Source organism: Homo sapiens, chromosome 2 (assembly GCF_000001405.40).
Source record: "Homo sapiens chromosome 2, GRCh38.p14 Primary Assembly".
In the NCBI taxonomy this organism is placed as follows: domain Eukaryota; kingdom Metazoa; phylum Chordata; class Mammalia; order Primates; family Hominidae; genus Homo; species Homo sapiens.
In genome coordinates, this window is record NC_000002.12 from 13,355,102 (window position 1) to 13,382,623 (window position 27,522).

At 33.6% G+C, this 27,522-nt stretch overlaps 1 long non-coding RNA gene across 1 annotated transcript in view; it reads left to right on the forward strand.

Moving 5' to 3' along the window:
- Positions 1 to 2,199: 2,199 nt before the first annotated feature.
- The window catches only part of LOC105373437 (uncharacterized), a 45,933-nt gene continuing 20,610 nt past the window's right edge, over positions 2,200 to 27,522 (forward strand). The window contains exon 1 of the long non-coding RNA XR_922813.1: positions 2,200 to 2,252. This is a non-coding gene — a long non-coding RNA (uncharacterized LOC105373437). The remainder of the gene's footprint in view (positions 2,253 to 27,522) is intronic.

Here is a 27,522-nt window from a genome sequence, read left to right on the forward strand (position 1 = left end):
CTGTTCCATAGTTAGTGTTATATAAGTGTTAGATACTTACTTTTAAAATGTATGTATCTTACATTAGAAGCCAAATATTCATAAATTTTCCAATTAAATGTAGAGAAAGCCCTTCTGTTTTAAAGCAGTCTCATTGAGGTTAATTACATAGTCCCTTCAGAGGTCATACTCCCTACTGAGATTATTCTATTATTCTCAAGTTTTCTAATATCTACTTCATCTTGGTGGGCATAAAAAGTTGTATTAATCTTCACAGTCACAAAACTTTTGATCCACAAGCTGTTTCTAACATCTCATTGGCCACTGCTGAAATGCCCCCTTTTCTACCCAGCTTATTAATATCTTATATTGGTACCTGCTGAAGTCCTACTTATTTCTTTTTTGGTATCTTGCTCATACATTTGACTAAATTTAAAGATTTGTAATAAAACTATTGTCAGGCGCTCCAAATTCTGGACTTCTTTCATTCTGACCCCACACCTTTTCTAGGATATGAATTTTCTCAGTTTATTTGCGCTTACCTAGGACATGGCTTTTTGATTCTCTATTCACTTTCTGGGACTCCGAATACATGTATGTTAGAACTTTTGGATGTTCTGTACTTTTTAAAAATTTTTTCCATAGTCCTTGTTTTTGTCTTTCAGCTTTGATGTTGTATAATGATTTATCTCAAAGTTTCTTGTTTGTCTCCTTAGCTGTGTCCAACTTTATCACTTTCAAGGGAATTCATTATGTCTAGTAACATTTTAAAAAATTTTAGAGTTATCATTTGACTCAGTTTCATATTTTTTATTAGTGTGCTCTGATTCCTTTTTTTTGTCCACAAATGCTATCCTTCTTTTCCACTAGATTTCTTAGTATGTTAGTCACAGTTATATTTAAATTCCTGTCAGTTTTAACAACTTAGCCACATCTGAGTTTGATTTAGTTGACTACTTTATCTCTTAATAAGTTCTTTTATTCTTCTGTGTAATTTTTCCCTTAATTTCGAACTGACTGCTTAAAAGGTAGATACTGATATACAAAGTTTTCATGTCTTAAAATAGACAACTGTTTTCTTCTATCAGGCCATTAATGTTGAAAACTGAGTTAATATACTATTAGTAATTGTTTGAATTGATATTGAGTTTTTTTGATGTTTAGTCCCCTTCAGACCAGCCCACAGACATCACATTTCTCCAGGACTAGGTTGCTATTGCTTGGTGTGAGGGTGGAATTATCTGGTGCATTTTCTAGTATTTCTCAGTTACCTTGATTCAATATCAGTCCAAGAAGGCTCTGTATTTTGTCTTTGAGGGTTGGATTTTTCAACACTTCTGCCTATTACCCCCAAAGATGAGAAACTCTTTCGTACATTTCTAAAATCTCCTGTGCAAAGAGCTCTCTGCTTCACATCCAGCTATAGGAACTCTGCCTTGTTTGCTGCAGAATCCTAAGACTTTGTCTTGCATCTTGGATACCAGCTCAGCCACAGCAAGACAGGGCACTAGAGTCATGAGGTTTCTTTCTGAAAACCTGGCTACTGGATGACATATCTAAACACAGCATGGGCCTGAAGGGAGCCTTCTGCCTTGAAGGGAAGAACCCAGTCTTGACAGCATTCATCATCTGCAAAATGAAGCATTCTTGGGTCCTGAATAACCAGCAGTGATAAGCAGGTACTATGTTAAGGGTCTGGGGTGAGACTATGAGACCTGCTGGCTTCATGTGAGACTCAGCAGATTTCCACCTGTGGTGGATATGGGGTAAGAATCCTACTGCTTGAGAAAGAGGAGAAAAAAGTAAAGGTAACTTTGTCTTAAACCTTAGGTACCAGCTCTGCCACAGAGGGGTAGAGCATCAAACAGGGTCTTGGGATTCCCAATTCCAGGATATAGCTCTTGGACAGCATTTCTGGATAGCATTAGAAGGGAGTTCACTGCCCTCAGGGGTGAGTCTCAGGCCAGGAGCATTCACACCATGAACTGTCTGAAGAGCCCTTGGGCCCTAAGGGAGCATTGGCAGTAGTCAGTAGTACTCCTTGTGGGTCTGTGGTGGTGGTGCTAACTATAGGGTGAGACTTCTCTGTCTTTAGAAAGGGGAGGGAAGAGTGGGAAGGACTGCATCTTGTGATTTGAGTGCCAGCTCAGCCACAGTACAATAGAACATAGAACACCAGTAGACTTCTAAGGTTTCAGACTTCAGTCCCTGGCTGTCTAATGGAGGGCAACCCTGGACCTGCCCAGGGCCTGGAGGAACTCACCAAGTGGAAGGTAAAGACACAGCCCTGGATGGCTTTGCACCCGCTGATTGTAGAGCCTCAGGGCCCTAAGCAAACATAGGCAGTAGCAGGTAGTGGTTATAGCAGGCCTTGGGCAAGAACCTGCTGGCTTCAAGTCTGACCCAGAGCTGTCCTAGTGGTGGTGACTACAGGAGGGCTTGGGTTTCTCTACCCTCAGCTTTAGGTGGTTCAGAACAGAGAAAAAGGGACTTCATTTGTTTGGGAAAAAGTAATGGAAAAGAACAAGAATTCTACCTGGCAATTGAGATAATTCTTCCAGATCTTGATCAAGAAAATCAAGGCGGTTCCTCTATGAATCTTCAAAAACAACAGTGTTACTGGTCCTGGGGTAGCTCCTAAAGCAGATACAGCTTAAGTTAAAACATCTAATTCCTTTTGAATATCTGAAAAGCTTTCCCGAGAAGGACAATCGCAAACAAGCTCAGACTGCAAAGAAAACAATAAATACCTAACTTCAATGCCCAGACACAAATGAACATCTATAAATATTAAGACTATCCAGGAAAACATAACTCCACCAAATTAAGTAAATAAGACACCAGGGACCAATCTTTGTGAAACAGAGATACATGACCTTTTGGACAGAGAATTGAAAATAGCTTTATTGAGAAAACTCAAAAAAATTCAAGGTAACACAGAGAAGGAATTCAGAATGCTGTCAGGTAAATGTAACAAAGAGATTGACAAAATTAAGAAGAATCGAGCAGAAATTCTCGAGTGGAAAAACACAATTGATGCATTGAAGAATGCATCACAGTCTTTTAATAGCAGAATTGGTCAAGCAGAAGAATGACTTAGTGAGCTTGAAGACAGGATATTTGAAAATACAGTCAGAGGATAAAAAAAGGAGAAATAATAAAAAAACTACGAAGCACACCTACAGGATCTAGAAAACAGCTTCAAAAGGGCAATCTAAGATTATTGATCTACCAGATGAGGTAAAGAAAGTGTGAGGGGTAGAAAGTTTATTCTGAGAGATAACAATGGAGAATTCCCCAAAACTAAAGCAAGATATCAATATGTAAGTAAAGGAAGGTTATAGAACACCAAGTGTATTTAACCCAAAGGAAACTATATCAAGGCACTTAATAATCAGACTTTATTTGTCCATTCTTACACTGCTATAAAGAACTGCCTCAAACTGGGTAATTTATAACAAAAACAGGTTTAATTGACTCACAGTTCTGCATGGCTTGGGAGGCCTCAGGAAACTTACAATCACGGTGGAAGGAGAACAGGTACATTTTACATGGCAGCAGTCAAGAGAGAGTGTGTGTGTATAGGAAAAACTGTTGAACACTTACAAAACCATCAGGTCTCCTAAGCACTCACTATCACAAGAACAGCATGGGGGAAATAGCCCCCATGATCCAATCACTCCCATCAGGTCCCTCCCTCAACACATAGGGATTATTGGGATTACAATTTGAGATGAGATTTGGGTGGGGACATAGAACCAAACCATATTGTTCTGTCCCTGGCCCCTCCCAAATCTTATGTATTTTCACATTTCAAAACCAATCATGACTTCCCAGCAGTCCCCCAAAGTCTTTATTCATTCTAGCATTAACTCAGAAGTCCACAATCCAAAGTCTCATCTGAGAAAAGGCAGGCCCCTTCTGCCTATGAGCCCATAAAATCAAAAGCAAGTTACTTACTTCCTATATAAAATGGGGATACAGGCATTGGGTAAATACATGTATTTCAAATGGGAGAAATTGGCCAAAACAAAGGGGATACAGGCACCCTGCAAGTCCAAAATCTAGCGGGGCAGTCATTAAACCTTAAAGCTCCGAAGTAATCTCCTTTGACCCCATGTCTCACCTCCAGGTCACACTAATGCAAAGGGTCGGCTCCCGCAGTCTTGGGCAGCTTTTCCTCTGTGGCTTTGCAAGGTACAGCTCCCATCCCAGCTGCTTTCATGAACTGGCTTTGAGTGTCTGTGGCTTTTCCAGGCAAATGGTGCAAGCTGTTAGTGGATGCACCATTCTGGGGTCTGGAAGATGGTGGCCTCTTCTCACAGCTCCAGTAAGCAGTGTCTTAGTGGGCACTCTGTTTGGGGACCCAACCTCACATTTCCCTCCTGCATTACCCTAGCAGCGGTTCTCCGTGAGGGCTCCCTTAGTAGCATACATATTCCTGGATAGGCAGGCATATTCATACATCTTCTGAAATCTACTCAGAGGTTTTCAAACCTCAGTTCTTCACCTCTGTGCACCTGCTGGCCCAACACCACATGAAAACAGCCAAGGCTTGGGGCTTGCACCCCCTGAAGCAGCAGACTGAGCTATCCCTTGTCACCTTTTAGCCATGGCTAGGATGCAGGGCACCAACTCTTGAGATGGCACAGTCAGCAAGGCCCTAGGACTGGCCCATAAAACCATCTTTTCTTCCTAGGCCTCTGGGTTTGTGATGCCCTGGAGACATTTTTCCCATTCTCTTGGCAATTAACATTCAGCTCCTCATTATTATGAAAATTTTGCAGCAGGCTTAAATTTCTCCCAAGAAAAATGCGTTTTTCTTTTCTTTTGTATTGTCAGGCTGCAAATGTTTCAATTTTTTTACGCTGCTTCCCTTTTAAACATAAGTTCCAATTTCAGATGATCTCTCTTAAGTTCAAATTTTCACTGATCTCTAGGACAGGGCAAAATGACACCAGTCTCTTTGCTAAAGCATAGCAAGAATGACCTTTACACCAGTTCCCAGTAAGTTTCTTATCTCTATCTGAAACCACCTTATCCTGGACTTCATTTTCCATATGACTATCAACATTTTGGTCACAACCGTTCAATAAGTCTCCAGGAAGTTCCAAGCTTTCCACGTCCTCCTGTCTTCTTCTTAGCCCTTGAAACTATTCCAACCTCTGCCTGTTACCCAGTTCCAAAGTCACTTTCACTCTTTTCGGTGTCTATAGCAGTACTCCACTCTCAGTACCAATTTCTTGTATTAGGCCATTTTCACATTGCTATAAAGAACTCCCCCAGAGTTGGTAATTTATAAAGGAAAGAGGTTTAATGTACTCACAGTTCTGCATGACTGGGGAGGCCTCAGAAAACTTGCCATCATGACAGAAGGCGAATAGGTATATCTCACATGGCAGCAGGCAAGAGAGAGTGTGTGAGTGTCAGAGGAACTTTCAAACACTTACGAAGCCATCAGATCTCATGAAAACTCACTATCATGAGAATAGTATGGGGAATACCATTCCCATGATCCAATCATCTCCCATCAGGTCCCACCCTTAACACGTGGGGATGATGGGGATTACAATTTGAGATGAGATTTGGGTGGGGACACAGAGCCAAACCATATCAGACTCTTAAAGATGAAGGATAAAGAAAAAAACCCCAAAACCACCAAGGGAAAGAAAAAAAAATAACATAAAGTAGAATTCCATCAGGCAGCAGACTTTTCAGTGGAAACTTTACAGGCCAGAAGAGAGTGACATGGCATATTTAAAGAGCTGAAGGAAAAAAACAAAAAACAAAAAAACTTTTACCCTAGAGTAGTTAGCTGATGAAACTATCCTTGAAACATGAAGGAGAAATGAAGACTTTCCCAGACAAGTAAAAGCTGAGTGATTTCATCAACATCAAAGTTACCCTACAAGAAATGCTAAAAGAAGTAAGTCAATCAGAAAGAAAAGGACATTAATAAGAAATAAGAAATCATCTGAAGGTACAGAACTCACTGTAATAGTAAGTATCCAGGAAAACACAGAATGTACAACACTCTAACTGTGGTGTGTAAACAACTCTTTCCTGAACTAAAAAGCCTAAATGATGAACCAGTCAAAAATAATAACTAGAACAACTTTTCAAGACATAGACAATACAATAGATGTAAATGGAAACAACAAAATGTTAAAGAGCAGGGAGACAAAGTCAAGTGTAGGTTTTCTTTATTTGTTTATGCAAACAGTGTTAAGTTGTTATCAGCTTAAAATAATGGGTTATAGCATAGTATTTGCAAGCACATGGTAACCTCTAACCAAAAACATACAATGAATACCCAAAAAAGAAAAGCAAGAAACTAAATTAAATCAGCAGAGAAAATCACCTTTACTAAGGGAAGACAGGAAGGAATGAAAGAAGGAAGAGAAGACCATAAAACAACCAGACATAATTAACAAAATGGCAGGAATAAGTCCTTATTATCAATAATAACATTGAATGTCAGTGGACTAAACTGTCCAATCAAAAGATATAGACTGGCCAAATGGATGATAAAGTAAGACCCATTAATCTGTTGCATACAAGAAACACACTTCACCTATAAAGATACACATAGGCTGAAAAGAAAGAGATAGAAAAAAAATTCCATGTCAATGGAAACCAAAGAGAGCAGGAGTACCTATATATTATATATGTATATCATATGTGTATATATATGATTATATATGATATATATGATCATATGATTATATATGATCATATATATCATATATAATATATGATCATATATAATATATAATCATATTATATATTATATATGATCATATATCATATATGATCATATTATATATTATATATGATCATATATCATATATGATCATATTATATATTATATATGATCATATATGATATATGATCATATTATATATTATATATGATCATATTTGATATATGATCATATATGATCATATTATATATGATCATATATAATATATAATATGATTATATATTATATATCATCATATATTATATATGATCATATATATAATATAATAGATACATACATTATAATATATTATATATTTTATATCATATGTTGTATATCATATACATCATATATAATATATAATGTATGATATATATTATATATAACATATGATATATAATATGATTATATATCATATATTATATATCATATATTATATGTCATATATCATATATCATATATCACATATATGATATATATATCACATATAATATATCATATATGATTGATATGATATATCATATATAACGTATTATATATGATATAACGTATTATATATGATATATCATATATGTATATGATATATATGTGTATATAATATATGCATATATGTATGTACATATGTATATGTATGTATATATGTATGCATATATGTATGTATGTATACATACATGTATGTATATATGTATACATACATGTATGTATACATACGTGTATGTATACATACATGTATGTATATATGTATACATGCATGTATGTATATATGTATACACATGTATGTATACATACATGTATGTATATATGTATACACATGTATGTATATATGTATACATATATGTGTATGTATGTATATATGTATACGTATGTGTGTATGTATATATGTATACGTATGTATGTATATATGTATACGTATATATGTATATATGTATACATGTGTATGTATGTATATATATCATATATAATATATCTAATATATAATATATGATCTATCTATATATGTTCTATGATATATATGATATATATCATATATATGATATATATGATATATATCATATATATGATATATATGATATTATATGTCATATATTATATATCACTGATATATATCAGTGTGATTATATATGATATATAATATATGATATATATCAGACAAAATATGTTTTGAGATATATATAACATAATATATCAAAATATATATGTGTATATATACACATATGATATGCACATACATGATACACATATGACATATATATACAGATATGATACATACATATCTATACCATATACAATATATAATACATTATATATGATAATATATGATATATATCAGACAAAATATATTTTGAGACAAAAACTCTTAAGAAGAGACAAAGTCACTATATAATGATAAATGGGTCAGTTCAGCAAAAGGACATAAGAATTTTTAATATACATGCACTCAACACTGGAGCACCCACATATATAAAGCAAATATTATTAGAACTAAAAAGAGAGATAGACCCCAATACAATAATAGCTGGAGACTCCACCCTGCACATTCAGCATTGGACAGATCTTCCAGATATGAAAGCAACAAAGAAATATCAGACAATGTGTACTGTAGAACAAATGGACCTATTATGTACAGAACATGTTATCTAATGGCTGCAGAATACACATTCTTTTTCTCAGCACATATATCATTCTCAAGGATAGGCCATATGAAAGGTCACAAAACAAGTCTTAAAACATTCAAAATAAATTAAAATAATACCAGGCATTTTCTTTGCCCACAGTGGAGTAATACTAGATATCAACAACAAGAGAAATTTTAACTATAAAAAATTCATGGAAATTAAACAATATGCTTCTGAATGTCCAGTGGGTCAATGAAAAAATTAGGAAAAATTTGAAAAATTTCTGGAGACAAATGATAATGGAAACACAACATATGAAACGCTATGGAATATAGCAAAATCAGTACTAAGGAAGTTTATAAGTGCCAACATCAAAATAAAAAAAGGAAAAGTTTGCATTTCTCTAATGACCAGTGATGATGAGCTTTTTTTCATATGTTTGTTGGCCACATAAATGTCTTCTTTGGAGAGGTGTCTGTTCATATCCTTTGCCCACTTTTTGATGGGATACTATCTCAGGCCAGTGAGAATGGTGATTATTAAAAAGTCAGGAAACAACAGATGATGGATGGCAAGGCTGTGGAGAAATAAGAACTTTTTTACACTGTTGGTGGGAGTGTAAATTAATTCCACCATTGTGGAAGACAGTGTGGAAATTCCTCAGGATCTAGAACCAGAAATACCATTTGACCCAGCAATCCCATTACTGGGCATATACCCAAAGGATTATAAATCATTCTGCTATAAAGACACATGCACAGCTATGTTTATTGCAGCACTATTTACAATAGCAAAGACTTGGAACCAACCCAAATGCCCAAAAATGATAGACTGGATAAAGAAAATGTTGCACATATACACCATGGAATACTATGCAGCCATAAAAAAGAATGAATTCGTGTCCTTTGCAGGGACATGGATGAAGCTGGAAGCCATCATTCTTAGGAAACTACTAACACAGGAACAGAAAACCAAATGCCGCATGTTCTCACTCATAAGTGGGAGTGGAACAATGAGAACACATAGACACAGGGAGGGGAACATCACACACTGGGTCTGTAGGGTGGTGGGGGGCAAGGGGATGGAGAGCGTTAAGACAAATACCTAATGCATGCGGGGCTTAAAACCTAGGTGATGGGTTCATAGGTGCAGTAAACCACCATGGCACATGTAAACCTATGTAACAAACCTGCACATTCTGCACATGTATCCCAGAATTTAAAGTAAAATAAAAACAACAACAAAAAAGAAAAACTTTAAACAATTAATGATGCATATTAAAGAACCAGAAAAGCAAGATCAAACCAAACCTAAAATTACTAAAAAAAGGAATACTAAAGATCAGAGCAGAAATAAATAAAATTGAAAGAAAGAAAACAATATAAACAACTAATAAAAGTTGTTTTTTTAAACGTTAAATAAAATCAACAAACCTTCAGCTAGACTAAGAAAAAAACCCAGAATAATAGAAATAAAAATAATATCAGAGATGAAAAATAAAACAGTGCAATGGATACTCGAAGCATCATTATTGGCTACTGTGAGCAACTATGTGCCAATAAATTAGAAAATCTAGAAGAAATGGGCAAATTCCTAAACACATACAACCTACGAAGATTGGACCATAAACAAGTTCCAAACCTGAATAAATAACAAAGTAACAAGATAAAAGCTGTAATAAAAAGTCTGCCAATAAAGAAAAGCCAAGGACCTGATGGCTTCACTGCTGAATTCTACCAAACATTTAAAGAGGAATAAATTCCAATCCTACTCCCAAAGTATTTTTAAAAAAGTGGAAGGAACGTGTTTAATCTCATTCTATGGGGCTAGTATTACTCTGATACCAAGAGCAGACAAAAACACATAAAGAAAAGAGAACTACAGCCTAATATCTCTGATAAACATTGATGCAAACATCCTCAAAGAAATACTAACAAACTTAATTCAACAACATATTGAAATGATAATTCATTATGACTAAGTGAGATCTATCCCAGGGGTGCAAGGATGATTCAACACATGCAAATCAAGGAATGTGATATCAATAGAATGAAGAATAAAAGCCATATAATCATTCCAAATGATGCTAAAAAAAGCACTTGGTAAAATTCAACATCCCTTCATGGTAAAAACCTATAAAAAACGGAGTATATAAGGAACATAGCTCAATATAATAAAAATCACATATGTTAGACCTACAACCAGTATCATACTGAATGTGGAAAAACTGAAAGTCATTACTCAAAGATCTGGAACATGACAGTGATTCTAACTTTCACCACTATTATTCAACATAGAATTAAAGTGCTAGCTAGAAAAAATAGACAAGAAATAAAAATAAAGGGCATCCAAACTGGAAAGGAAGAAGTCAAATTTTTCTTGTTTGCAGAAGATATTATCTCATATTTTGAAAAACCTAAGGACTCCACTAGAAAAATCATTAGAACTGACGAATTCAATGAAGTTACGAGATACAAAATCAACACACAAATATCAGTAGTATTTCTATATACCAACAGTGAACAATATGAAAAAGAAATAAAAAGTAATATCATTTACAATAGCCACACATAAAATTAAATACCTAGGAATTTATTTAACCAATGAGTAAAAATCTCGGTGATAAAAACTGTAAAACAGTGATAAAAGAAATTGAAGAAGACATCAAAAAATGGAAAGTTATTTTCATGGATTGGAAGAATCAATATTTTTAAAATGCCCATGGTACCCAAAGCAATCTACAGAGGCAATGTACTGTATTTTGCACTGTATTCCCTATCAAAATACCAAGGATATTCTTCACAGAAATAAAAAAATTCTAAAATTTATATAAAATCACAGAACATCCCAAATAGCCACAACTCTCCTAAGCAGAAGAGTCACATTACCTAATTTTAAATTATGCTACAGAGCTGTAGTAACCAAAATGGCATGATACTGGCATAAAAGCAGACACATAGACAAATGGAACAGAACAGAGAACCTGGAAACAAATCCACATATCTACAACGAACTTATTGTTGACAAAGGAGCCAAGAACACATAGTGGGGAAAATATAGTCTCTTCAATAAATAATGCTGAGGAAACTGAATATCCGTATGCATAAGAATGAAACTAGATCCATATCTCTTGCCATATACAAAGATATCAAATAAAAATGGATTAAACACTTAACTCTAAGACCTGAAACTATGAAACCACTATAAGAAAACATTGCAGAAATTCTCCATGACATTGGTCTGGGCAAAAGTTTCTTCAGTAATAACCCACAGGCACAGGCAAAGTGGACAAATGAGATTATATCAAGTTAAAAATCTTCTGCACTGCAAAGGAAACAAGCAACAAAGTGAAGAGACAACTCACAGAATGGGAGAAAATATTTGCAAACTATCCATCTGACAAGAGATTAATAACCAGGGTATAAAAACAAGCTCAAACAACTTTGTAGAAAAAAAAAACTAGTAATCTGATTTTAAAATTGGCAAAAGATTTGAATAGACATTTCTCAACAGAGTTTTCTCAAAAGAAGAGATACGAATGGCAAAGAGGCATATGAAAATATGCTCAATATCACTGATCTTGAGAGAAATGCAAAATAAAACTACAATGATGTATCATCTCTTCCCAGTTAAAATGGCTTATCTCATGACAGGCAACAACAAATGCTGGCAACAATGTAGAGAAAAGGGAGTCCTTCTACACTGTTGGTGGGAATGTAAGTTAGTTCAACTGCTATGGAGAACAATTTGGAGGTTCCTCAAAGAACTAAAAAGAGAGATAATATTTAATCCAGCATTCCAAAAATCTGGGGATATACCCAAAAGAAAGGAAGTCAGTATATCAAAGAGATATCTGCACTCCTCCATTTACTGCAGCACTGTTCACAATAGCCAAGATTTGGAAGCAACCTAAGTGTCTAACAACAGATGAGTAAATAAAGAAAATATGGTACTTATGCACAATGGAGAACAATTGAGGTATAAAAATAATGAGATTTTGTCACTTGCACAATATGGATAGAATTGGAGGTCATTATGTTAAGTTAAACAAGCCAGGCATAGAAAGAGAAGCATTGCATATTCTGACTTATGTGTGTGGTCGAAAAATGAAAACAATTGAACTCATGGAGATACACAATAGAAGAATGGTTAGCAGAGAATGGGAATGGCAATAGGGCAATGGGGGTGGGAGAAGGTGCAAATGTTAATGGGTACAATAAAAATAGCAAGAATTAATAAGACCTAGTATTTGATGGCACAACGGGGTAACTATAGTTAATAATGATTTAATTGTACATTTTATTGTAACTAAAAGAGTTTAATTGGATTGTTCATAACTCAAAAGATAAATGCTTGAGTGGATGAATACCCCATTTTCCATAATGTGATTATTATGCATTGCATGCCTGCATACATTTATGGAGTATCTCTTGTATCCCATAAACAAATACACCTACTATGTACCTACTATGTTAATTAAAATAAAAATTATAAATAAATACACACATACATACATGGTATTGTATTGTATGGATATTCCACAGTTTGTTTATGTATTCACCTATTAAAGGCATCTGACTTTTTTTTCAGTTTCAGTCAAAATAAAACTGCTATAAATACTCACATTCAAGTTTTTGTGTGAACATAGGTTTTCAGAATAGTTGGGTAAATAACAAGATGTCAACTACTGGATTGTATGGGAAGACTATTTTTGTCCTTGTAAGAAATTACCAAACTGTCTTTCAAGGTAGTTTGCTACATTGCATTTCCACCAGCAATGAGTGACAATTCCTGTTGCCCTGCATGCTCATCACTAGTTATATCATCAGTCAGTATTTTCTGGAGTTTAGTCATTCTAGTATATATGTACTGACATTTTATTATTGTTTCATTTGCATTTTTTAAATGACAAATGATATTGGGAATATTTTTATATGTTTATTGACCATCTGCCCATCATCTTTGATTAGACGACTGTTTAAATTTTTGTCCAGTTTTTTAATTGGGTTGTCTGTCTTTACATTTTTGGATAAAATTTCTTCATCAGGTATGTGTTTCACAAATATTTTCTTCCAGTCTGTGCATTTTTTAATACTCCAATAGTGTCTTTCACAGAACAGAAGTTTTTACTTCTAATGAAGTACACCTGTCATTTTTTCTTTGAAAGTGTTTTTAGTGTTTTATCTTAAAAAAACTCCTCACTGCACCCAAACTTCTCAGTTCACCCACGCAGATTTTCTCTTACATGTATTTAGACATTTTATAGTTTTTCGTTTTATATTTATAAGTATGATCTGTTTTAAGTTAATTTTATTGTAAAATTTGTGTTTGGGTTCTTTTATTAAATATAGATATCTAATTGGTGATGCATCATTTTTTGAGAAAGGCTGCCATCACTCCTTCAACTTTCTTTTATGTCCTTGTTAAAAATCAGTTGATCATATTTATTTTGTCCTATGTCTATATTCTCTTTCTTTGATTTATATGTTTCTTTTAACTGTATCATATAATCTTGGTTATTATAGCTATACTATAAGTTCTGAAGTTGGGTAGTTTGTGTCTCCACATTGTACTTTTTTTCTTTTTTTGGCTATCTTTTGCCTTTCTATTTAAACTTTAGAATAAGTTTGTCTATATCTACAAAGCAGTTTGATGGAATTTTATTTGAGATTGAATGAAATCTGTAGATCAATTTGGGAGAAAAGTGTGTCAGTAATATTGGGGTCTTTCAGTCAGTGGCATAGAATGTTTTCCATATAATTAGATCTTTAACATGTTCCATCTGTGTCTTAACTTTTTGCATACAAATCTGCACATATTTTGTTAAATTTATACATAAATGTTTTATTTTCTGCTACATTGAAAATAATATTGTTTTCTAAATTTCAAATTCCAAAATTTCATTGTTGGTATGTAGAAAAAGAATTGAGTTTTGTACATGAACTTTGTGCCCTGATTTGCTATGCTTGCTGATACACTCCAGAAGATTTTTCCTTGTAGATTTTTGAGGATTTTACATATAGGCTATCATATAATTGGCAAATAAAGACAGGTATTTTTCTTTCCATTAAGAGTACCTTTTATTTTTTGTCTTATTGAATTAGGTAGAATTTCCAGTGAGATGTTCAAAACTGTGGCAACAGAAGTTATAATTGCCTTTTCCCTACTTTAAAGATATAACATTCAGCCTCTGACCATTATTTATGATGTTAGCTTTAGGTTTCATGAGTGTACTTTATCAAGTTGAGAAAGCTCCCATTTATTCCTAGTTTATGAGATATTTTTGTTTGTTTGGTCAATGAATTGATGAATTTTTGCCAAAAGGTTTTGCTGCATCTATTGATATAATCACATACTTTTTCTTTTTTTTTAGCCTGTTGAAATGGTAAATTACATTGATTGGTTTGTGTGTTCAGTCATTTTTGGATATTTGAATAAATTCTGTTTTGTTATGGTTATAATTCTCTTTATATACTATTGAATTCTGTTTGCTAACATTTTGTTGAGGAATTTTGCATTTGTGTTCTTCAGATATATTAGTCTAGTTTTTTCTTTTTAGTTTATTTTTAATTGACAAACAATAATTGTATACATTTATGGGGTACAACGTGATGTTTTCACATATGTATACATTGTGAAATTATTAAATCAATATCTATCACCTCACATACTTATTTTTTGTGGTGAGAACATTTAAAATCTGCTCTCTTAGCAGTTTTCAAACATACCATACGTTATTGTTAACTACAGTCACTATGCTGCACGATATATCTCCAGAATTTATTCTTCCTATCTGAAACTTTATACCCTTTAACCAGTATCTTCCCATCTCCCCCAATCCCTTTTAACTACCATTCTGCTTTTATTTCTGTAAGTTTGACTATTTTAGATTCCACATATATGTGGGAACATGCTGTATTTATCCTTCTGTGCCTGGCTTATTTTATTTGTCATAATGTCCTCCAGATTCATCTATATAAATTTACGTACTTTTCAAGGCTGAACAGTATTTCGTTGTGTATATATACCACATTAGTTTTACTCATTCTTCTGCTGATGGACACTTAGGTTGATTCCATATCTTGGCCATTGTGAACAACACTGCAGTGAACATGGGAATGCAGATATCTCTTCAACATGCTGATTTCATTTTATTTGATATATATCCAGAAATTGAGTTACTGAATTATATGGGAGTTCTATATTTTTAGATTTTAGAGAAAACTCCATAATATTTTCCAAAATGCCTGTACTAATTTACCTTCCTACCAACAATGTACAATGGTTCCCTTTTATCCACACCCTCACCAACACTTGTTAGCTTTTGCCTTTTTGATAAAAGCTACTTGAGCAGCTGCGAGGTGATATCTCCTTGTGGTTTTAATTTGCATTTCCCTGATGATTGCTGTTGAGCATTTTTAAACATTCCTATTGCCTATTTGTATGCCCTCTGTTTTGAGAAGTGTCTACAGGAGGTCCTAGTGACAGGCATTAGGCATAAGCAAGAAATTACATGTATCCAAATCAGAAAGGAATAAGTTAAATTGTCTCTGCAGATGATATGATCTTATATATAAAAACTGTAAAGACTCCACCAAAAAAACTGTTAAAATTAATAAATGAATTTAATAAAGTTGCAGGATACAAAATAAGCGTTCAATAATCAGTAGTGTTTCTATTTACTAACAGTGAAATATCTGAAAAAGAAAGAAGAAAAAAACATTTATGATCGCATCAAAAATACGAAAAACAAGGAGTTGCAAGATCTGTACATTGAAAAACTATTGAAAATATTAATGACAAAAATTAAAGAAGATACAAATAAATGGAAAGATATCATGTGTTTATGGGTTGGAAGAATTAGTATTATTAAAATGCCCATGAAACCTAAAGATATCTGCAGATTCAGTGCAATCTCTATTAAAATTCTCAAGACATTTCTCACAAAAATGGAAAGAAAAAAAAGTAATTCTAGGATTTGCATGGAGCCACAGAAGACTCAAATATCCAAAGCAATTTCAAGCAAAGGGAACAAAGTTGGAGACATCACACAACCTGATCTCAAAATTTACTACAAATATTTCCAATTCAGAAGAGTATGGAATTGGCACAAAACAGGCATATAGATCAATGGCACAAAACAGAGATCCCAGAAATAAGGTAAGTGTCTTCAGCCAATTGATCTTTGACAAAGGTGCCAATAACCTGCAATGGGGAAATGGCAGTCTCTTCAATAAATGATGTTAGAAAAACTGGCTATCCACATGAATCCTTAATTTCACCCCATATACAAAAATCAACTCAAAATGGGTAAAATAATTAAACATTAATAAAAAGATAAAATTACTAGAAGAGAACATACGAAAAGCTCTTGACATTATTCTTGAAAAAGGTATTTGGATACAATCCCCAAAGCACAGGCAAAAAAGGTTTGTACATTTTATGTATTGCAAGGGCTTTATATAAGTTTCAGTATTGGATAATGATTGACTCAGAGAATGAATTAGGAAAAATCTTCTCTGTTTCTATTTTCTGGAATAAATTGTGGAAAATTGGTATTATTTCCTCCTTAAATATTAGGTAGAATTCACCAGTGAAATTATGTGGGTCTCAGGCTTTCTTTTTGGAATAGTCTTAATTATTCAATTGTATATATGTATATCCAAATAGATAATACATCCAAGTTATCTATTTTTTTGTGTGTGAGTTTTGGTAGCTTGGATCTTTCAAAGAATTGACCTATTTCATTTATATTACAAAACGTATGGGCATATGATTTATTTTCTCAGTTTTAAATTTGTATGTGGCATTTTTTGAATCATTTTTAAAATTTTCAATAACCTTTTTGCTTTCTCATATGTTTATATTTTATTTCTTTAAATATTTTAATAATGATTTTAATCAGTTTCTAATTATTCAAAACTCTGGTGGCTTTTGGTTATCTAAAACTATTGGTCATTTTAATTTATTTTGTTTGCTTTTATTTATCTTATTTTTTGAAAATAGTTTGCCTACTTTAAATAATATTTAATATAAATTTAAATATAAAGTCTCCCTCTCTTGAAATCCTTGAAGCCTAAATTGGCTACAACTCATAAGAAGAAGTCCCAAATTTTACTCTTTTTTAGTGTACCTAGATTAATTGAACCTGGATTTTCAGTAAATTAGCTACCTTAGCTTACGGACATCTAAAGGCTGAATTCCCAGATCATTGTGCTGATATAGGCAATTGTTTTCAGTCTAATTCCCTGATTTCATATATCCTTACTTCTCACTCTAGTTTCTGCTTATAATTATCTTCAGCTGTCTGGAGAATCCTTTTATTTCTTGCAAGCTAAAAATATGCATCATAAATATTTGTTTAGGGTGTGTCAAAATAGATTTTCTTAAATAATTTGATAAGCAAAAGCTTACCTTCGTTAAAAAGTAAACTACAGAAAATAAAACTAAATAATACGTAGTAGAAGGTAGGGACTAAAAGAATACATTTAAAAAACAGATAGAACTGAGAGAAAAATTTATAAAGATGACATGTTTAGTAGAGTCATGTAATATATATTTTGTTGTCCATACAGCGAAAATAGCTAAAAAACGAATTATAGGTCTTCTTATAATTGCATGTCACAAGCTAGGTATTACTTACAAACTGAAATATATGAACTTTATTGCTACTAAAATATCTTTCAAAAAAATGGAACTTCTAAATATTTCTTTGTTTTGTTCTTGCAGCTGGTTTATTTTTATTATTTTTTTGAGAATAAGTTCAGTATGACCATGCAAAGTAAAAGCTGATTTTATGATAAATCACTTATATTTTATCATCAAATAATTAGTCAATATTACACACACATGCATATACACAAAGACATATGCACAGATTATTTAAAAACACAGTTTTCATTGTTAAAAAGTGACTAAATTTTTGAAGATGGAAACTGTGTCTATTTTTCTTGAATATTATATTTCTAATTACTAAAGTGTTCTGCACATAAAAGGATCTTAATATTAATTACTAGATAAAGAAATAACTTGCATATTTGATTGCAAATTCAATAGGATAATCTGTCGTAATTTCTCAATTGTTCTTTTTTTTTTGCCTTATTTTAAATAGTGTAAGCTGGTAACAAAAATATATCAGTAAAAATCAAGCATATCTTCATATAATATAGTGATGCACAAATTATTTAGAGTGATGAATCTCTACATACATCAAGCAGTGATAGCATGTGGCCTCCTCAGCTTGAAAGACATTTGTGTTAAGTATCAAGCAAATGTTATTAAAAATAAAAGTGGAGATTTTTGCTAGGTGAAATTTCTATAGCAAAGGAGATTACATAAATCAAATTATTTCAAAGGCTGTGATAGAGTCCTAAGTAATAACCTTACATCAATTAGGAAATGGTAAATTTTGTATTTTTTGCGTTACCAAAATTCGTTAGAAAAGAAAATGAGACTTTCAATAAAATTAATTTTCCCAATTTCAATGTAAATTATAAAATTTATGATCTAAATGAATATATTAAATTGCATGTTTGAAAAACTTTAAAATTATATTTGTAATAAATCTATACGTAAAAGAAATTGTTTATTTACATAGAATACACTATATTAAAAATATTATTTTATCATAATTGGGTGGCTACTGCCAAAGTTGATGCCAACTTTGAAATTGTGTCCCAATTGTTTTCAAGTAAATGGCTGGAATTAGAGGGGCAAAATTGACTGTAAAAGGGTGATGCTTCTGTAATTGGAGAATTATTATCTTCAGTAGGAACAATTTTGTGTAAAGGATTTATCACTTTGTAAAGAGAATTACACCTCAGTGCTTTATAAAATACTTGCTTAGTTAGGAAGATGAAGAGGCACAACAGAGCTTTATCTTCCATATTTTCTAGGGTAGAAAACATGCTAAAAGTATTTATGTTTAACTCTCCAATTAATGTGATCAATCATAAATATATATATATATATATATGAACGTGTTCTTTGTAAAATTTCATTACATGTATTTGTTGTCAATAGTTACTTTATTTTTCAATTTGATTTCTAAGTAAAATTTGTATTTTTATTTTTAAAAAGAAACATTGCAACAATATTTGGAAAGTTTGGTATGGTTAGATAGACATTAAATTCTACAGTTTTACATGCCATCCGGCCGGATATTAAAATAACATTTAACTATGCATGTAGAGATGCCTGGGTTAATCTAGGATGTTCATTATTTCGTCTGTCATTTTATTCCGTTGGTAAACAACCTGATATGCTTTTTTTCAAAACCAGAGCAAGAATGTACTACATAGACGGATTTCTAGGGTATGTTTCAATGTTTGTATTGGAAATAACTTTTTCCATCCAATAATTTAAGTAGAATTATACAAAGAATAAATATTAGTACAGATTGTAGCTCTGTTTGTACTATATCCATGCTAATTAACATTATGGGTAGACAGCTTACAAACAATACACTAATATAAAAGCAATTCACATTAACTTTAAATTTATGACATTTCTCATAAATGTTCTGATTAAGAGATTTCTATAGATTTTTATAATATTATATAATGACTAATCACCCATTTTATGCTTGTTGTTTTGGTTCAGATATGTCATATTAGAGAAATCTCCTTGTTGATTGTCAAATATTTTCTCTCTGAAAGAAACCAAGGTACAATTTTCTGGAAGGATAATCGAGTGATACATTTTTAATTCATTTATTTCAATTTTGTTATTAAATATGTAAAGAATGGTCAAGAATTTTGAAAGGTATAATTTCAAATTAAATATACATAAAATTTACATAAAAAGCACATAATAGGCTCCATTATACACCAGAAACTCTCCCTAAATTCCAAGAAAATAAAAATGAACAGATATGAACGCTATTCTACAGAAACACAATGTATTGAAGTGAGGAGGCATATACACAATGCACTGTAACAAAAGGCAAATTCCTCGGGACACAGAGAAAATTCTATAAGCATTTACAAGGGGAAAAGATTATTCTCATTTGGGTGGTGTATATGTCTATAAGTATCATGGTGGGGTGGAGGAGATGACTACTGAACTGTGTCTTGAAAGATTCATAATACATATGAATATGATAAAAGTGCATTCAGAAAAAAGCTAAGACATGCCACAAGGACTTCGTGAGGGAATATTGGCAAAAACTGAATAATAGTGAAAGACTTTAAAGATTAAAAATACAAATTGTGTCATAGTATTAAGAAAAAATATAAATTTATTAAAAATAGGTACATGAAAAACATACACAGAATCATAGAATTTTAGCACATACCAAAATATACACAATAGCTTGCACATAGTCGGTACCAAATAATTGTTTAATAAAACAGATGAATTTATTTATTTTATTAGATTATATGGCTCTATTATCTTGAAACTTAAAGATTATGTACTTTTTAGGCAAGAATTGAGATTGATTTGCTGTGTTTACCTAGTAACCATTACTATCCCTGAAACATAAGAGTCCTTAAATAAATGTTTGCTAAAGGTTGTTAAATGGATTAAAATTTGTGCTTGACTTATTGTGGAAGCTATTGTAGTTCAGCTAATGTAAGATAGAATATTCACTGATTTGATTTTATGTAAATAAACCAATAAATCATTTGTAAGATTGCTGAAGAACATAATCTCTGTCCCAGAAATTTTTACTACCTTTTAAAAGAACACATTATTTTTGTATAAAATATTATTAACCTTTAATCTTGATGAGTTGAAAGAAAACGTTTACATGGTGGTCTCTTGGGAAGCTGGGTAGACAATGTCTATCTGTAGAGAAGGGTAAAACCCAGAACTCCTAGCAGTCTCTTGTTCTGACACTGTCTATATACTGTATTCCCCTTGCCCCTGTGGTTTTCCACATATGAATTGAGTTTACATTGCTTGGACTATAATTGCTCATCCCTACCATAATTAGTTTATTAGTTTAGCTATACTATTGGGAAGGTCATTTCCCATTGTGTTTATACAAATTTGTTTACAAGCCTATTTAACTCAAATTTAAATTATGCTGCTGTGGGTAAAAATAGTAACAAGTACTTTTTCATGGATTTCTTCAAAGACTAGCTAAAATGATCAATTAACGTGTCCAAGAAAATATGAGAAAATTTATCTTTCAGAAATGTTTTGTATGAAATTCTCAAATGCTTCAAAGTCTTACAACTTTATGTGAAATGATTAAAGACATTTAAAAACAAGAACAAAATCCACAATTATTATTATCCACATTACTTTTGAGTACTGTTAATACAACCATTACAGAGACCTCCAGATAGAAGGAATGATAGTATCTAAATAATAGAAATAGGATAATTAAGTTGCATTTACTTAAAAACAACAAGTCTTTTTGGTTGGAAATAGGATGTATAAAAAAGCTCAATACCAAAATTTAGATGAAATGTACATTTATTGGACAGAATAAAATAAATTTGTTGAGATAGTTTTTAACAATAAAAAAAACCAGGAAAGCATACAAAACAAATAAAAACCTGAATTAGAGCTTTGGACTTCCTCAAATCACATTATTTGTAGTGGATTGATTGACTCCATTTTAAGATAGAGGAGACGAACAAGATGGCCGACTAGACACAGCCAGGAAGTGCCACTCCTCTCAAGAGAGGCCAAGTTATTAGGTAAACCACCATAATTTGAACAGGCATTCAGGGAGAAAATGCTGAAAGTGGATGGAGAGGCAAGGCCGAAGCCAAGACTGAAGAGGGAGGAAGCTGGAAACCCTGAGTTAGCTACCCAAGTGCTAAGGCTAATTCCTGGCCACAAACAATTCCAGGAAAGGACTGAATGAAGGAACTGAGGGATGGTTCACTCTCGCTGTGAGCATCTGATTTTTTAGCTACAAGGGACCTTACACAACCGTGGATGTGTGAGCTGGCAGGGGGATCTCCCTGGGGAGCAGGCAGAGACAGACCTTTGGACAGCATAGACCCCAGGAGCTTTTGTGTGCTGGACCACTGCAGGCAAGAGCAGCCATAGATGCCCATTTCCCAGGGATTTCCATTCTCCTCTGGGAGGCATGGAACCCTAGTGACCTCCAAGCTAGAAGAGAGTTGGGCCAGCTTTCCTGCAGGACTGGGGTGCATCTGCTCTGCAAGCCCTTCTGCCTACAAGCCCCTCCCAGGGTCCATGCCTAGCTGCCCTGTAGGAGCAGGTGCATAGTGCAGTCCTGGAAGGCCAGCCTGAGTGTGTAATTGCACCTGCATACTTTCTTCATGACTCTGGAGCACACTGTATCCCTCAGTGCAGAAAGAACCCGAACCCAAGCCATGGGATATCCCAGTGACCCCAGGGCTGTAGTTTGCAGCTTGGGAGTATGGAACCAAGATTTGTGGCTGGCACTCAAACAGAGAAAGAGCCCCTAATCTCAGAGCCGTGAAAGGGGTGAGATGCATGGGTTCCTGAGCTGGGGTAAGAGTGGAACATGCCTCCCTTCTCAGGTCCAGTCCAAAAAGCATGTGGCATATCTCCCTGCCACAGCTTCTGCCCAAGAAGACCATGTGGCCCAGAAAACCTAACAAAAAAATGTGGGCACAGCACCAGCTATCAGAGGGAGCTCTCTCAAGTTTTACAAGCAGATCTGTTGAGGGAACCATATCACTCCCTCCCCACTGCAGAGCATATCTATGAACACAAGAAGTACAAAAAGCCCTGTGACCAGGTATTAACCTAGCTACCAGTCATTACTGTTAAGCCTCATTCACTGGATTTGCTGCCCAAACTACAACACCTAAATTTTATTCTGCTAATATATACAGCTGTGAAACCAAGTCAAAAATTTACCCACACATAAAGATTCTGTACAGAGCCTTGGGCCTCTAAAAGCATTCAGAAATTAAGCCAACTGATTATTCACAACTTACACCACAGTTAAAGAAATGCCAACCCTCCCAGATGAGAAAGAATTAGCACAAGAACTCTGGCAATCCAAAAAGTCAGGGTGTACCCTTACCTCCAAATGAGTCCACTAGCTCCCCAGCAATGGTTTTTAACCAGTCTGAAATTAGTGACATAACAGACACAGAATGCAGAATCTGTGGCCAGGAAACTCATTGAGATTCAGGAGAAAGTTGAAGTTCAATGCAAGGAATTCAAATAATTTAGTAAAGCAATCCAAGAGCTGAATGATAAAATAGCCATTTTCAGAAATAACCAAACTTAAATTCTAGAGGTGAAAAACTCACTATCAGAATTTTATCAAATAATCAGAAGTATTAGCAGCAGAATAGACCAAGCTGAGGAACTAATCTCAAAACTTGAAGACGACTTCTTTAAATCAACTCAGTCAGACAAAAATAAGGAAAAAAATAAGAAAAATAAGTGAAACCTCCAAGAATATGGGATTTTGTAAAGCGAAAAAATCTATGACTCATTGTCATTCCTGAGAGAGAAGGAGAGAGAATAAGCAACTTGGAAAATATATTTGAAGATACAGTTCATGAAAATTCCTCATCTCTTTAGGGAGGTTTACATACAAATCCAAGAAACACACAGAACCCCAGCTAGATATGACATGAAATGACTACCTCCAAGGCACATAGTACAATATTCATCAAGGTCAACACTAAAGAATAAAGTCTTAAAGGCAGCTAAAGGGCAGGGTAAAGTCACATACAAGGAACTTCATCAGGCTAGCAGCAGATCTCTCAGCAGGTATCTTACAAGTCAGAAGAGATTGGTAGCCTATTTTCAGCATCCTTAAAGAAAATAAATTTTAACCAATAATTTCATATCCTGCCAAACTAAGCTTAAAAGTGAAGTGAAGCAAATGCTAAGGGAATATGTTTCAACTAGACTAGCCATACAAGAGGTCCTTAAGGGAGTGCTAAACATGGAAAAGAAAGAATGACAGTCATACCACAAAAGCACATTTAAGCACATAGCACACAGGCACTATAAAGCAACCACACAATCAAGTCTACATAACAATCAGCTAGCAACGTGATAACAGAATTAAAATCACAGATATCAATACTAACCTTGAATGTAAATGGGCTAAATGCTCCACTTAAGAGACACAGAGTGCAAGCTGGATAAAAAGATCCAACCATCTGTTATCTTCAAGAGACCCATTTCACATTAAGAACAACCACAGGCTCACAGCAAAAGAATGGAGAAAGATCTAACATGTGAACAAAAAACAAAAAAGAGCAGAAGTTGCTATTCTTGTATCATGTAAAATAGACTTTAAACCAATAAAAATTAAGAACAATGAAGGGCATTACATAATGATAAAGGGTACAATCAAACAAGAAACCTTAACTGTACTAAATATATATACACTCAATATTGGAGCACCCAGATTCATAAACCAAGTTCTTCATTGCCCATGAAAACACTTAGACAACCAAACAATAACAGCAGGAGCCTTCACCACCCCACTGACAGCACTAAACAGATCATTAAGGAAGAAAACTAAGAAAGAAACTCTGGACATAAACTCAACACTTTACCAATTGGACCTAATAGACATCTACAAAATACCCCAGTTAACATCCACAGAATATATATTCTTCCCGTCTGCACATGGAACATATTCTAAGATCAACCACATGCTCAATCATAAAGCAAATCTCAATAAATTCAAAAAAATTGAAATTATACCAAGCAAACTCTTGAACCATGGTGAAATAAAAATAGTAATCAAAATCAAGATCTCTCAAAACTACACAAATATAGGGAAATTAAACAACTTACTCCTGAATAACTCTTAGGTGAACATCAAAATTAAGGTAGATTTAAGAAAAATTCTTTGAAATATTGAAAATAGGAATGTGACTTACCAAAATCTTTGAGATGCAGCCAAAGCAGTGTTAAGAGGAAAGTTTATTTCCCTACATGCACTAATCGAGAAGTTAGAAATATCTCAATTTAGCAATCTAACTTTGCACCTAAAGGAACTAGAAAAGAAAAAGCTAACAGAAGAAAAGAAATAACTAAAATCAGAGAACTTATTGAAATTGAGATACAAAAATCCATAGAAAAAAATAAAAAAAGCAAGAGTTTGTTCTTTGAAAAGATGAACAAGATTGATAGACTGCTGTTTAACAGCTAGATTTACAATGAAAAAAAGAGAAGATCCAAATAAGTACAGTCAGAAATAACAAAGATAATATTATAACTGATCCCACAGAATTACAAAAGTTTCCCATAGAATACCATGAACAACTCTATGCATAAAAATTAGAAAATCTGTAGATGAAATTGATAAATTCTTAGAAACACACAGTCTCTAATTGAATCAGGAAAAGATTGAAGCTTTGCATAGAGAAATATCTCACTCTGAAATTGAATCATATGTAATTAAAAAAAAAAAACTACCACCAACCAAAAAAGTCCTGGACCAGATGGATTCACAGTCAAATTCTACCAGATGTATAAAGAAAACCTGGTACCAGTTCTACTGAAGCTATTCCAAAAAAAGGAGGGAATCCTTTCAAACTCAATCTCTGGCAGAAACACAGTCAAGAAAGAAAACTTGAGGCCAATGTCCATGATGAACGTAGACAAAAAATTCTCAATCAAATGTTGGTAAACTGAATCCAGCAGCATATAAAACGGTTAATTCACCATGATAAAGTAGGCTTTATTCCTGGGATGCAAGGTTGGATCAACATATGCAAATCAATAAATATGATTCACCACATAAGCAGATTTAAACACAAAAACCATCTGATCATCTAAGAAAATGCAGAAAAGCTTTCAATAAAATTCAACGTGACTTCATGATAAAAACCCTCAACAAACTAGGCATCAAAATAATATGACTCAAAATAATAAGGGTTGTCTATAGCAAACCCAGAGCCAACATTATACTGAATGGGCAAAAGCTGGAACCACTCCCCTGTAGAACTGAAAAAAAGGCAAGCACTCTGACCATTTCATATTCAACATAGTAGTGGAAGTCACAGCCAGAGCAGTCAAGCAGGAGAAAGGCTACTGGAACTAATAAATGATTTTAGCGAAGTTCCATGATACAAAATCAATGTAGAAAACATCAGTACCATTTATATGTGCCAATACCATCCAGGCTGAGAGTCATATTAAGAACACAATCACATTTACAATAACCACAAAGAAAATGAAACACCTGAGAATACAGGTAACCAAGAAGGTGAAAAATCTCTACAAGGAGAACTAGAAAACAATGCTGAAAGAAATCAGGTGACACAAATAAGTGGGAAAACATTCCATACTCATGGAATGTTTTAATGTTTCATGATAATGAAAAATCAATATCATTAAAATGGCCATACTGCCCAAAGCAATTTACAGATTCAATGCTATTCCTATCAAACTATCAGAATTAGGAAAACTATTCTAAAATTTATGTGGAAGCAAAAAAGAGCCCAAATAGCCAATGCAAACCTAAGCAAAAAGAACAAAGCTGGAGGCATCACACTATCAACTTCAAACAATAAGGCTACCGTGAAAAACCAGCATAGTACTGATACAAAAACAGACACATAGACCAATGGAACAGAATAGAAAACTAAAATATAAAGCTGCTCACTTACAACCATCTGATTTTCGACAAGGTCAATGAAAACAAGCAATAGGGATAGGATTTGCCATTTGATAAATGCTTTAGGTTAACTGGCTTGCCATAAGCAGAAAAATGAAACCAAATTCTTATCTTTCACTAATACAAATATTTACTCAAGATGGATTAAATATTTAAATGTAAGATCTCAAACTATAAAAACACTAGAATAAAACCTAGGAAATACTCATGTCAACACTGGCCTTGGCAAATAATTTTTGGCTAAGTCCCCAAGCAATTGCAACAAAAACAAAAATTGACAAGTGATACCTAATTAAACTAAACAGCTTCTGCCCAGCAACAGAATAAGCAGACAAGCTATGGAATGGGAGAAAATATTCATGAACTATGTATCTGTATTAGTCTTTTTTTTACACTGCTATAAAGATTTACTTGAGAATGAGTAATTTATTAAAAAAAAAAAGAGGTTTAATTGACTCCCAGTTCTCCATGGCTGGATAGGACTCAGGAAACTTACAGTTATAGCAAAAGGTCAAGGGGAAGAAGGCACTTCTTACCTGGTGGTAGGAGAGAGAGAGCAAGAAAACAAGGAAGTGCCACACTTCAAAACCATCAGCTGTTCTGAGAACTCACCCACTATCATGAGAACA